Source organism: Homo sapiens, chromosome 12 (genome assembly GCF_000001405.40).
Source record: "Homo sapiens chromosome 12, GRCh38.p14 Primary Assembly".
NCBI classification, from domain to species: Eukaryota; Metazoa; Chordata; class Mammalia; order Primates; family Hominidae; genus Homo; species Homo sapiens.
In genome coordinates, this window is record NC_000012.12 from 75,253,100 (window position 1) to 75,267,332 (window position 14,233).

General features: G+C 34.1%; 1 long non-coding RNA gene and 1 pseudogene across 2 annotated transcripts in view; one reads left to right on the top strand and one right to left on the bottom strand.

The window, feature by feature from the left end:
* On the bottom strand, positions 4,636–5,511 carry CCNG2P1 (cyclin G2 pseudogene 1; annotated as a pseudogene).
* CAPS2-AS1 (CAPS2 antisense RNA 1) overlaps positions 5,091–14,233 on the top strand; it is a 40,096-nt gene continuing 30,953 nt past the window's right edge. The window contains exons 1-3 of one of the 2 annotated variants that reach the window (XR_001749212.2): positions 5,091–5,339; positions 5,464–5,537; positions 7,476–7,575. This is a non-coding gene — a long non-coding RNA (CAPS2 antisense RNA 1). The remainder of the gene's footprint in view (positions 5,340–5,463; positions 5,538–7,475; positions 7,576–14,233) is intronic. The other variant, XR_001749213.2, reaches the window with a different exon arrangement.

Sequence of the window (14,233 nt, forward strand, 5' to 3'; positions counted from 1 at the left end):
CTTAGTCACTGAAAATTTTCAACACCCCACACTCTCTTTTCTTTTTCTGGGCACATGTACCACTACTGCTTTAGACTTCTCATGGTGGCCCTTCTCTCTATGAACAACACAAACCCCCTGCCGTGTCCACTGCCACGCAGGACCCTTTTCTGTTCATTATAAATTGTCTTAAGTACTAACCTTTCCCTCAGGACTTCATCTCTTTGCCTTATTATCTCTACTCTGAAAGTCCAGAGGACCAGAAGGTGGTCCCATAAAAACTCACAGTTGAGAATTTTTAAACATACAACACTCTAAAATATTTTCTGTGGCCTTGATTGATCTGATCCAGACTAGTTTGGAATCTGCAAAACCAGAATTGAACTGGGCACCAAAATTGAATCCTCTTGCTTTCTTTGGATTGTTCTTTGTGCAATAAAGAGATCACAACTGCAGTTTCCATGCTCCATAGAAGTCCTGAAATACAATAGGCTTCATTCTAAAGTTTTTTCTGTACCACCATTTCTAACATTACTAAACTTTGCTCCATTAATATAGAGACTGACTATATTAATCCATTTGCATTACTGTTAATATAAAGAAATACCTGAGACTGGGTAATTTGTAAAGAAAAGAGGTTTATTTGGGCATATGATTGTGCAGGCTGTACAGGAAGCATGATGTTGGCATCTGCATGAGGTGAGACCTCAGGAAGCTTACAATCATGGTGGAAGGTGAGGGGGAGTCAGCATGTCACATGGTGAGAGAGAAAGAGAGCAAGGCAAAAGGTCCCAGGCTTTTAAACAACCAGATCTGTGAACTAACTGAGCAAGAACTCGCTTATCACTAAGGGCATGGTACTAAATCATTCATGAAGGATCCATTTCCATGATTGAATCACCTCCCACCAGGCCCTACCTATAACATTGGGAATCACATCTCAGTGTGAGATTTGGAGGGGACAATCATCCAAACCATATTACTGACTAAAAGCCACCACTACTTACAAACCACTGTTACTTACAAACCACCATTTAGTGGTTTGGACCATGATCAGCAGGTCATAATAGAGGAATGGCACAACTACTCTCTGCCATTAATTAGAAGAGACATAAACCAGGAAAACTGCCCATATTTGGAGTTGATAAACACTGAAATTGTTATGGTGCTACTTCTCTTACCCAATATGGATTTCAAAATAGGTATATAATTAAATGGTGAAATAAATTTAATAAAATTTCAATGAGATTTTAATTTTTCTTAAAGAGTCACTTTAATAAATACATAAATTTTAAAATTTTTGATATTTTGAAATTTTTTTAATTTTTAAAATTTGATATTTTATTAAGAACCTTGGCATGGAACGTGTTTGGTCTACTTACTGAATTATGCTTCAGTACCCCAATTATAGTACCCACAAGTGGTCTTAAACTAAAGCATGGAGCATGTCCAAAGTGCTAGTAGCAAAACTTTACTACATTCTATTGACTGCTGGCTCCTCCAATTTCAACATCTTGTTATAATTACCCAGTACCATGTGAGAATGTCATTTGGTTAAAATATATTTGGTGCTAAATGATTCCATATATTTATTTAAATATGTAATTTTTCTCTTATAGACATGGATACATAATAAGTAGTCCTTTAAAGAACATATGGAGAAGGTAAATTTCTATCAAAGAAAAACAAAAGGAAGTAAAGTTAATACTAATAAATCTTGGATTTATTAGATAAAAATATGAGACTAACAAAGTGATATTATACTAATAAAATAAGTAAAATACAAAAGTTACATACAGGTGGTTTAAGAAACCTTAAAATATTTGACATTTACATTTTTATTAACTTTTTTTTGAGACAGGATTTTGCCTATAACCTGGCTAGAGTGAATTACAGCTCACTGCAGCTTCGACCTCTGGGGCTCAAGCAGTCCTCCTAACTCAGCTTCCTAAGTAACTGGGACTACAGGTGTACACCACCATGCTTGGCTAATTGTATTTATTTTTTGTAGAGATAGGGTCTCACTATATTGCCCAGGCTGGTCTCAAACTCCTGAGCTCAAGCCATGCTCCCACTTTGGGCTTCCAAAGTGTTGGGATTACACACATGAACCACCAAGCCCATCCTATTAATTTTTATTATAGGTGAAAATCATATAGAACCAAAAAGCTATATCAAAAAGCCACGATTTTCTGTACCACCTGTTTCTAACACTAGTCTCAATCCTCAGAGGCAGCTGCTTTCAACGACTTTCACTGTTTTTCTAGCATTTAGCTCAGTGTTTCTAGATAACATGTTTATACTCCAATGTCTCAACAATCAACCCATCACCTACTGAATACTTCTGGTTGTTGAGGGCTTATCTAAATCACCACCTTCCCCAATTTTTCCTCAGCTGCACATCCTCCTAATATAGTTATAAAAGAATCTTTAGTTAAATTAAAAGTGTTTACACTATAATTCCATGTAAAATTTGTTTACACTAAGCCAACTAGTCTATTAGAGCTGTATTTCTTTTAGCATATCACTCTTAGCATTTTCTTAATATAATAATCTGTGTCTTCCTTCTGTTATCATTCTATATTTTCATTGGTAATTTTTTCAAGAAACTAGAATAGATCTATTGCATGCTTTTTATTCATTCCGTTGTGTGTAGGCAGTGGCTCTTCAAACTGGGGTCATATCCATCAATTATGAGAAATTTTATTTTATTATTTCTTTTATAATTCTGCATCTCTCCCACCCCATTTCTTCTATTTCCTTTTCCTATAACAGGATTGGAATTAATCCCAGGTTGGATTTCCTATATTAAACTTTATCTTTTTTGTTTTTATTTATAATCTTCCAAAAATTCCATTACATTACATTATTTTATTTAATCATCTATTTTATGCTTTGTTCATATTTTTAAGTTACAGTCTGTTGCCACTTAAAAAAGAGAAATATCCAATGTGAACCTTGGAAATGTTATGCTCCGTGAAAGAAGCCAGACACAGAAGGATATATTTTTAAAGCTAGACAAGTATTATATTCCATTTATATAAAATGTCCAGAATAGGCAAATCCATTAAGACAAAAAGTAGATTCATGGTTGCCCCAAAATTGGGGTGAGGGATTGGGGCTGACTGCTAGTGGATATAGGGTTTCTTCTTGGAATGATATTGGAAATGTTCTGGAATTAGTGGTAAGGTTTGCACAACATAAAAAAATACTAAAAACCACTGAATTGTACACATTACAATGGTAAATTTTATTTTATTAATTATATCTTGATTTTTTAAAAGCATAGAAACTCTCAAACTATATTGACTTAAAAATGGAAAATAACCAATGAATGTTGACTTACCAGTAAAAAAGCCATCAGTGTATAATTTGTGATACAGAAATATAATGCTTAATGTCTATGTTTAATGACTAGACTATTGCATGCATGATGTTAAAAACTTGTATTTTAAGTTCATTGGTAAGATTCATATTTTATAAACATTTTCTAAAGTTTTGTAAAAAGCACACATTTCTCTACATAAAAGTTCATGCATACAGTTTGAATGTCACCATTCTTATGACTCTACTATCATATTTAAGAAATATGCTTAAACTATATTATAGCAAACATTTTTAAAAATTGTGTTTCATCTTAGCATCCATATACTAATATAATTAATTTTGAAATATTAATTTCAAAGCAAAGAAAATGCCATAATGCAAACTTGGTATTTAATGTGAGAAAATTAAATAAAATTAATCACTTAAACAATATTTATCATTTACAGAGTTATCTATTTCTGTTCAACTTCTCACATAGTTGTATACATGTGCATGGAAAACTAGTGGATTGTCAGGCAAGACACAGCCATTGGGAGCACAACAATCTAACAGCATTAGCCTGTCATTTGATTGTGCCCTAGCTGAAACCTCCATTAAAACATTACAGAATAAAACTCACAGAAATGTCAATACTATAACTCCTAAGTTTATAGGCCCTGAACCAGAAAGAACACTGAGCATTAAATTAAAGGAGGGGGAATTCTTGGCATTCAATAGTATATTCTCTGTTCTGAGAAATGAGATGTAGGAGGTCAGCTAAGGGGATCAAAGATAAATCATTAAAAGGATTACTGCTTTCTCTAGTACCAAGGCATTTGCACACTCTCAGTCTGTTTAAATAAAGATGCCTGAAGATGTTATACAAAACGTTTAAGATAAGCTACAGTATTCATTTGATAAATTCTCTTGATAAGTAATAAATTAAATGTATCAGCCCCTTTCCTATTCCCACAAGTAGCTAAAGATCATTTTTATTCAAAGAGAAAAACAAAGTGCTAATATTTAAATTATTTTCAGTTGTTTCAGAGTCCCTATCCTATTTGATGGCTTAGAATATAAAAATAGACCAGATTTGGTCTGAATAATAATAGACGGTTGGTGTTCTAATCTATGATCTTTCTGCCTTCATGAGAACTGCATAAGAAAACTAACTACTTCCCCATTCACTGCTTATAAACCATACACATCCTTTAAATTTTGACATAATACAATTAGATTTCTAAAATGGAAAGCACAGAGACTGTGTCACTTTCAAGTTCAAAAAGATGTACGTCTTTGATCTCTGCGATGAAAGCTGCTGAGACTTCATTCCCCACAACTCACATCTTCAGAGTCCTCACTTTCACTTTCATCAGGACAGTTATCCTCCAATATTGTTGACAATTTAGGAACACCACAGTAGCTGTCTTGGAGGGTCTGGGCTCTGCATCTAGAAACAATGCAAAGCAATTTCTTCCAACACATAGAGAAAATATTCAGCTAGGCATTTAGAAACTAGTTCCCTCCACTAAAAGAATTCGGTGTCATTAATCTTTGAATGCCTTATAAGAAGCAGGACATTTTTCAATAATTCAGTAAATTACAACAGTTCTACTTCCAGATTAAGAAGACACAAAACTAATACAGATGGTTTTGCTTTTGAAAACATTAGCAAAAAATTGCAAGTTTTCAGCTGAGCTTCCGGTTTATAAGGCCCAATATTTCTTTCCTTTCTCAAATATAAAGAAATATGAGTCTTATAGAAGCAAAAGAAGTTTAAGGTACAGTACGTTCCAATTCATAGTTCCAAATTTTTTTCTGAAATTATTTTTCCATCAGTTTTCTGTCAGAAGAAGCAGTGCGTTTACATTGACGAATCAAGATTACTTCATGAGTAGATAAAACATGGCATTCTTTTTCAACTATTCTGGCAATCAGCATAAACAACAGACCCCAGTGAAAGATGAATTTTAGGTTTCAACTTCAGAAAAGCCAAGGATCTGTCCAAAATATTGGCAGCCACAATAAAAGTTTCTGGAGAAGATTCAAAAAAAGTTAGTTAAACCTCTTAGATCTTAATATTTTTTATATTTGATACAAAATGTTATCATTCTCAAGAGTCGCTCTATCAAGCTCATCTCTTAGTTCTCATAGTTGGATTTTCTATTCCTGTTTTAGGTAGAGTCTCAACAGTTCAGATAACTGGACCCATTCCAGACTGCTAAGACCTACAACCCCAAATTCTTCACCAGGTGGGAGATGTAATGTCTGACCAAGAGAGGACTGGGTGCAGAGGAATATGATAGACTCTTTCCTGTGTCAGGGACCTGCCAGCTCAGGCATCCAACCCTCCACTGCCATTGCCATGTCCTCCTCGGGTTCATAGTCCCAACTTCATGCAATTGCCTATACCCACACTCCCACTTGCAGTACCTTCTCTTCCATACTACTGGTCTCCTGGCAGCTGTAGGCCATGCCATTGCCAACAGGGGCTGAAGCAAACTTCTTCTTGTTCACTGTATTTTTAGTTTCCAAAAGCTCTAGTTCTCTTATTGTCCTTTTTACATAAGACCCCATTTCTGTTTTAAAGAAAGATTCTCTTCTCTTATCTCCTTGAGGATATTAACTATGGCTTTTTAGTTTGCTTCTTTTGCTCCATTGACTGCCTTTGTTTTTGTCCAGGTTTTTTTTTATGATTATTTTTGTCTGTCACCTAAGTGTCTTTCCTCAAATGTCTACTAATAGTCAGAGATTTGTTCATATGTGAAAATGAGAAGTTGATTGGAAGATGAGCATTGATGTGTGTTGGTAAGGGGAGGGTATAAACTTTGCTATCCAGGATTCTAGGAGGAAGCAGGAGAAACAGCCTATTAGTCTTGCATTTAAATATGTAGATTTTTGCATAATCCTACTATTCTTAGTCCTTGAACTCTGCCCTACTTTATGCGATGCCTGTAGTCTCTGAATCCAGAGGCTCTTTGTCTTAGTTTCACTAGGCTAAGCCTCCTATTTCCTCTGATAGATGTGGGTGGGGTAGCTTTCTGACTGCTCAGGGAAGTGGTGGGGACTAGGAAAGTTCAACCACTTTGTATATAGATTTTCAACCAATCATATTGTAATCACAGACCTCACCCCATGTTCCAAGCATTCAGCAAGGCAAATTAGATCAATTCTTATAGGTATCCCATCTCCAGCAGGCATTTGTTTGGATTCCTATTACTTCTAGGCTGCTAAATCCATAGTATCTTCTTCATTAGTTTGCTCTTTTTCAACTTTTTTTTGAAATCCTTCATGCACTATTGTCTATGTTCTCTTTGTCCTTATGTGTTGTCTTTTATTCTTATTGATACTTTTATGAAGCTTGTAGAGAGAAGAGCTGATGGACAAGAACAATCAATCTGCCAAATTTAAGTGTATGGGCTCAATAGTTAACTGTCGATATTTTTAAAACATTGGACAACGTTATAAGTTGGGATATATGGTTTGAGACAATGTATAATGCCATATATCATATATAGTATTAGAATATACTTTTGGTTTTACATTCAAAATATAATCAGAATTTGAACCAGCTAGCAGCCAGCATCCTAATCCAGTGACATCATTTGAGACAAAGCACCACCATCTATTATGTAGATTGAAACAATGTTGCAAATGACAGAAGCCAATCTGAATTTACCTTGATACCTGAAGTCTAGCCAATAGCTGACTTCAGTTCCATACTATACTTGTGGGCATTTGGAAGAGAGATCCTGTCTAATGCTGTTCTAGTCAATGAGTAAATGCCTAGGAGTCATATTAAGTAATAGACTTTCGGTTTCCCCCCAAATTTAAATCTGACCTAACAATTCATTTGCCACCTTAATATGTGCTCACCAGCCTTTCAATTCCCATCCAGGGCTGCCTTCTATGATTGGAGTCTATACCATTGACAACATTGCATATATAATAAGAAAAAGGGGGTACAGAATGTAGGAGAAGAAAGCTTCCTCAACCTCTGCTGGCAGGAACTATCTTGGCTGATGTATAGAACCATCTTGGCTTGTCTAAACATTAGTGCAGTAACCTTTTGTTGAGTAATCAGCCTCCTGTAGCTTATTGTGTATCTATAGTTCTAAAATGTGAACCACAAGATCCTGAGAACAGATAACTGATGCAAATACCAAGATTAAGACCTAATCCCTTCACAGACCACAAGCACAGTTAATGCAACTGGTAGAATATGTTCCGGGAACATGTGAAATACCACTTTGAAGACTCTCAGAAGTGAGACTAATGCTTTTTTCATAGGTGAGTGGTTAATAGCCCCTGTGTATAGATGAACATGTCGCCTTCCCTTATTTCTAACCCTATTTCTCTAACCACAAACAGGAGAAGCCTCCCAACAATTAGGTTATACCCATTCTCCCATCCCACTCTTTTTTCTACATAGTCTAAAAGTTCATTCATGTGTAAGCTCCATGCCATCTTGTCCCAAGCTACCTACTATTCCATCAGCACATCCTGTTTTTTTATCCCTTTCCCTTTTACATTCTTATTCTTAATATTAAATAGTACCCCCACTTTATCCTTATAAATGCTTTTTGCCTTGTCTGATATTAACTTAGTTATATCAGCTTTCTTTTGGTCATTTCAAAAAGTGGTATACATATCCTCATCCATTTCTGTGTGGCTTTAATTTAGGCAAGTAGGTAATTTAACTTGGGTATTGCATGTAAGCAGCATGTGGCTAAAATTTTATTCTTTTTATCCATTTTGATAAAATTTTATATTTTATCTAATCTGGTAAAATCTGCCAGGTGAAATTAGTCCAATTGTATTTATCATGGTACTGACATTTTAGAACCTTACAACAATCTTATTTTGTGGTTTCCATTTAATTGAAGTTTTCCTTAGATTCCATCTTTGTTATCCACTTGATAAACAGTTTTATGCATCCTTTTTTCATCCATGATGACAAACTATATTTTTATAATTTTTTTGGTGGTTTCCACTAAAATTTTCACATGAATACGTCACTATAATTTTTAACAAAATTTAATAGCATTTCCACCTCCCTTCCCAACCCATCACACCACCTTTCACAATCCTTTTCTGCACCATAGTATTGTTTAGAGTTTCATTTTATCTTTTATTTTAAACAAATTTTAAACACACTTTATGGACTTTAATTTTTTCAATTTGCTAGTCAAATTCCAGCAAAAACTGTACTGTACAAGTGCACACTATACAAACTGTACATTTACTGTACATGCACATTATACAAACAAATATACATACCACATACTATGCTGTTCTTCACTTCTGTGGATTTGTCCATGCTGGGCCCATCTAGAATGCTTTTCTTTCTCTTCCCCACTTCTCCTACCTCCATTCTTGTTATTCACTAATGAACTCCTCATCATCCCTTAAGAAGCATTTCTAGCTTCAACTTTTATAAGCAGTTTTCTCTGATCAGATGCCACTAGCACATTGCTGGGGCTTCCACAGTTCTTTATATTAAATAATTACATAATCAAATAGTGATTTCATACACTGGACAAATAGTCACATGCAGGTAGTGAATGCATAATTTGTGTTATATACTCTCAGGGCCTGGCACAGTGCTGACATATAGTAATTTCTCAATATGCGCTTGTTGAAAGAAAGAATAAATGAAAAGAACTATGGGCTTGCTTAAGGGTAAAAAGTAATTAGACCCAAATACTTTCAATTAAGATTAGTGGTTATCTACAGCTTCAGAATTAGCCAACCATGAGGAACCCAAGTGAGACTTTAATAAATAAACTAGGATTTAAGACTTTAATCGGAAAATAATACTGAAACAGAGAAAGTACAAAATAGAATGTTTGTGTGGGTGTGTGTGTGTACAGACACACGTAGACATATGCATTTTATTTTGTTCAATTTTTTAAAAATATAACTTCTCACCAGGTTGTGAGGCAAAGCTGGTTCTAGAGATACAATTGATAGGGCCTAAATCAAGGATGGAAGAGGGGAGCTCGCAAAGTAACACAGGTAAATAAGAAAACATTAATGGGACTTCACTGAGAAATATCTTTCATTTTTAAAAAGATATAATGACACATAAACATTTGTAAAACAAAAGATAGAGTCAAGAAAAATATGAAAAACAGCAAAAATTTAAAGAAAGAGAACATGGATATGAATATTAGGCCATGACCATTGAAATCTAACCTTAAAATAGCTGCAGAAAACATCTGAATATTGGAGAAAATTGATAGTCAACATTATAACATTAAGATATCTTTAAATTATGTAAAACTAAAAGTAACAAAAATGAAAATGAGAAAAATTACATTTGGTGTCAAAGAAGCTGAAGCCAATATTGTGATACGTTCTACTAAAAGCCTTAAATTTCAGTAATACTCTGTCTGCTCAATGCCATTGTGTGGAGAAGCACCCTAATGCATAAGCTTTTTAATGCTGTAAAATATAGTAGCTGAAATTAAATGCCACTTTTTCAGAGGTGAATTAGTGAACAGCCTGGTGAAATTGAAAAGCTTTTTGATATATAAACTTGATAAATGGGACTATTCTATCGATAAGCAAAAATGTAGCAACCTATCTAGATGGATAGTATGTAATTTCAGCACAGGTCTCTGTTTAGTAAATACATCACTGTATACTGATCAGGAATCTTGCTCCAATAAAGTAAAAGATTTTTTTTGGAAAAAAAAATTCCCAAACTTCAAAAGCAAACAGTCAACTATCAGCAAATCAAATTTTAGAAAGCTTCAAACTGCCAATGATAGTGGAGTGACATATTCAGAACTCTTAAAATGAAAGCGTGTGCTATTGTGAATAGTGCCACAACAAACATACGCATGCATGTGTCTTTATGAAAGAACAATTTCCATTTCTTTGGACATTTACTCAGTAATGAAATTACTGGGTCCAATGGTAGTTCTGTTTTTAAGTCCTTGAGGAATTGCCACACTGTCTTTCACAATGGTAGAACTAATTTACACTCCCACCAATAGTGTGTAAGCTTTCCTTTTTCTTTGCAACCTCACCAGCACCTGTTATTTTTTGACTTTTTAATAATAGCTATTCTGACTGGTGTGAGATGGGATCTCATTGTGATTTTGATTTGCATTTCTCTGATGATCAGTGATGTTGAGCTTTTTTTGCATATGTTTGTTGGCCTTCTGAACTTAAAAGTTAAAAAAAAAAAAAAAGCATGTGACCCAGGACTGCTAGAGTATACTCTCAAGTTGTCCCTACTGCATGGTGGCTGCAGGGGCCTTTCTACTATATACCAACATCCAACATCTTTTCCATTCAAATATCTTTCTTCAGAGAACAATAGGGAATGGTATCTAGAATACCAATGACTGAAGGATTACAGGAAAACTCTGAATAAAATCTTTGGATGTCCTGTAAACTCACTTTAGTGATATGCAAATAATAGCAAGAAGGAGAAGATAAAAGAATTGTCATTAAAAAAGGGTAAAATACAAACACCAAGAAGAAGCAGTGGTTGCTGTGGATTTTAAATAATTACAATAATTTTTGGATCAAAGCATGCTTTCAAAAATGTCAGCTCTTCACATATAAGTCATAAAAAATGAGAAAGAAGAGAGACAGAAAAGATAAAAAGCATAAAACATTTGATGTAAAAACGGTCCAAAAGTATTAGGATTGTTTAGGCAGATGCAATTTTTTTGTATTAATGTCATTCGACAAATATCTTTTGTGTATTTACATGCCAGACCTAAGGCGAGGAACAGCACTAGCCAATAGTAATACAGTGATGAACAAGGAAGAAAATCCCAACTGCCCTCTCAAGAAAGATAAAAATTGATAGAAACAAACACAAGCAGCAAAGTAAAGCAAAAGATACCCAGAATGCAATGGAGCATGAAAGAAAGAGACTCAATATTTCTAGCATTACAGGTTAGACCTGAAGACATTTTTATTTTGTTTATATGAAATTTCAGAAATAGAATAGTTACCTCCTGAGTGATACTAAAATGTGAAAGGAAAACATAATTAGGAAAAGCATCAAAATCTTATCCTCTGTCCTGCAACCTTCATTGCCTTAGGAAACTCCTTTAAAACTTACCTCAAGCATCATCTTACCTCTCTTTTCTCTCAATTTCACAACACATCTACAAATACACATGCCCTAGGGTAATTTCTACATAGCCATGCTGCCAACCACTTATCACATTTATAGTTACTAATCTTAATCTGTAGTCTCCAGGATCCACAAGGCTTCTTGAAGAAAAAAAGTATGTGTTATTCTACTTCACACCACCAGTGTCTGCACAGCCTCTAGCATATTCCAGACAATCATAAATGCTTGTTAAATAAATGGATGTTTGAATGAATGAGTAGCTCTTAAAGAAGAGATTTAGAGTAGTATCCAAAGTGTAATGGCCAGTATAGCTCAACCTGATATACCTCGTCTGAACCCCCTGACTGCATTTTTTTACTCTGCCAACTTTCTTAGCTCTAGCCACACTGGCCACCTCACTGCTTTTCAAACACACATGGCACACTCCTCCCCTAGGTCATCTGCACTAGCTGTCCATTATCTTCCAGGTTTTTGTAGAGTGCATTTTCTCATTTTCAAGTCACTTTCTCAACGCCCAGCTTGAACATTCTACTTCAGATATGCCCATCCTCCTACAGATTTCTCATATCCTGCTCTATTTTTTAAACTTTTATATTCAGTCACCTTCTAGCATACTATGTTATTTATTTATGTGTTATGTTTATTATTTACACATATCTTCACACACCCCCATTAGAATGTAAGCTCCAAGAGACTTATATTTTTTCACAGGCATGCTTATAACAATGACTGGCACATTATAGATTCTCAATAAATATTTTTTTCATGAGTGAATCCAAAAAGAAAGTATAACACAATTAAAACAAGATGTGTTTACAAGCCATAGATGTAGCATTAAAATTATAACATTGAAAATAAAGTACTTATTTTATTTAATAAAATTAAATAAATTAACCAAGCAGGTGAAAGATCTCTACACTGAAAACTATAAACATTGATGAGATCAACTGAAGAAGACACAAATGAATGGAAAGACATCCTATGTTCATGGATTGGAAGAATTAATATTGTTAAAATGTCCTTATGACTCAAAGTGCTCTATAGATTCAATACAATCTCCAGCAACATACCAATGACATTCTTCACAGAAATAGAAAAAACATTCCTAAAATTCATATGGAGCCATAGAAGACCCTGAATAGACAAAGCGATCTCGAGCAAAAAGAACAAAGCTGTAAACATCACACTATCTGAATTCAAAATATACTACAAAGCTAAAGTAACGAAAACAGCATGGCACTGGCATTAAAAACAGACACATAGACCAATGGAACAAAATAGAGAACAAAGAAATAAATCCATCCACTTACAGCCAATTAATTTTTGACAAAGATTTCCAGAACACACAATGGGGAAAGGACAGTCTCCTCAATAACTGGTGTTGTGACAAATGGATATACATATGCAGAAGAATGACATTATGCCCTTATCTCACACCATATAAAAAATTAACTCAAAATGAATTGCACACTTAAATGTAACACCCGAAATTATGAAACTACTAGAAGAAAACATACAGGAAAAGCTCCATGACATGGGTCTGGGTGATGACTTTTTTAATATAACCCCTAAAGCACAGGCAACAAATCATAAAATACAAATCAAATTATATCATGCTAAAGCTTCTGCCTAGTAAAGGAAAATATCAACAGAGTGAATAGAGAATCTACAGAATGGAAGAAAATAGTTGCAAACTATTTATCTTATCGGGGTTAATACGCAAATTATATAAGGAATTAAAAAAACTTAATAGCAAGAAAACAAATTACCTGATTAAAAAATGGGCAAAAGACCTCGATAGACTTTCTAAAAAATAAACATGCAAATGACCAACATGTATATGAAAAAAATGCTTAACATGATTAATCATCAGATAAAATGCATATTAAAACCTCTCACCTGTTAAAATGACTATTATCAGAAAGACAAAAGATAAGTGTTGGCAAGATTGTGCAGAAAAGGAAACCTTTGCACACTGTTGGTGGGAATGAAAATTAGTACAGCCATCATGAAAAACAGAATGAAAATTTCTTTAAAAATTAAAAATATAATTACCATATGATCCAGCAATCCCACTACTGGGCATATTTGCAAAGGAAATAAAATCAGTAACTTGAAGAGACATTTGTACTTTCATGTTTGTTGCAACACTAGTAACAATAGCCAAGATACGAAATCAACCTAAGTGTCCATCAACAGATAAATGAATAAACAAATGTGGTACATATACATAGTGGAATACTATTCAGGCATAAAAAAGAAGAAAATCCTGTACTTTGCAACAGCTTGGATGAACCTGGAGGACCTTATGTTAAGTGAAATAAACCAGGCACAGAAATACAAATACTTTGTGGTCTCATTCATACATAAAATCTAAAAAAGTTGATCTCCTACTAATATAGCATAGAATGGTGGCTACCAGGGCCTAGGGTGGTTGGAGGGTGGGTGGGATGTTGGGGAGATGTTGATCAAAGGTTACAAAATTTTAGTTAAAAGGGTGAAAGAAATTCAAGAGATCCGTTGTACAATATGTTGACTATAGTTAATAATATATTGAATTTTTGAAAAATCCTGTGAGTAGATGTAAAATGTTCTTACCACAAAAATAATACCTATGTGATATAATGCATATGTTAATTAGCTACAGATAGTCATTTCACAATGTGTATATACTTCAAAACGTCACGTTGTATTAATACATGGCAAATACACACAATTTTATCTGTCAACTTAAAACAATTTAAAATTATAACGGAATGCCAACGTTTCAACATTATTTATCTAAAAATATAAACTCCATGCAGAATTTAGAAACTTAAAATTGTAAAGGTACAAATTTTTCAA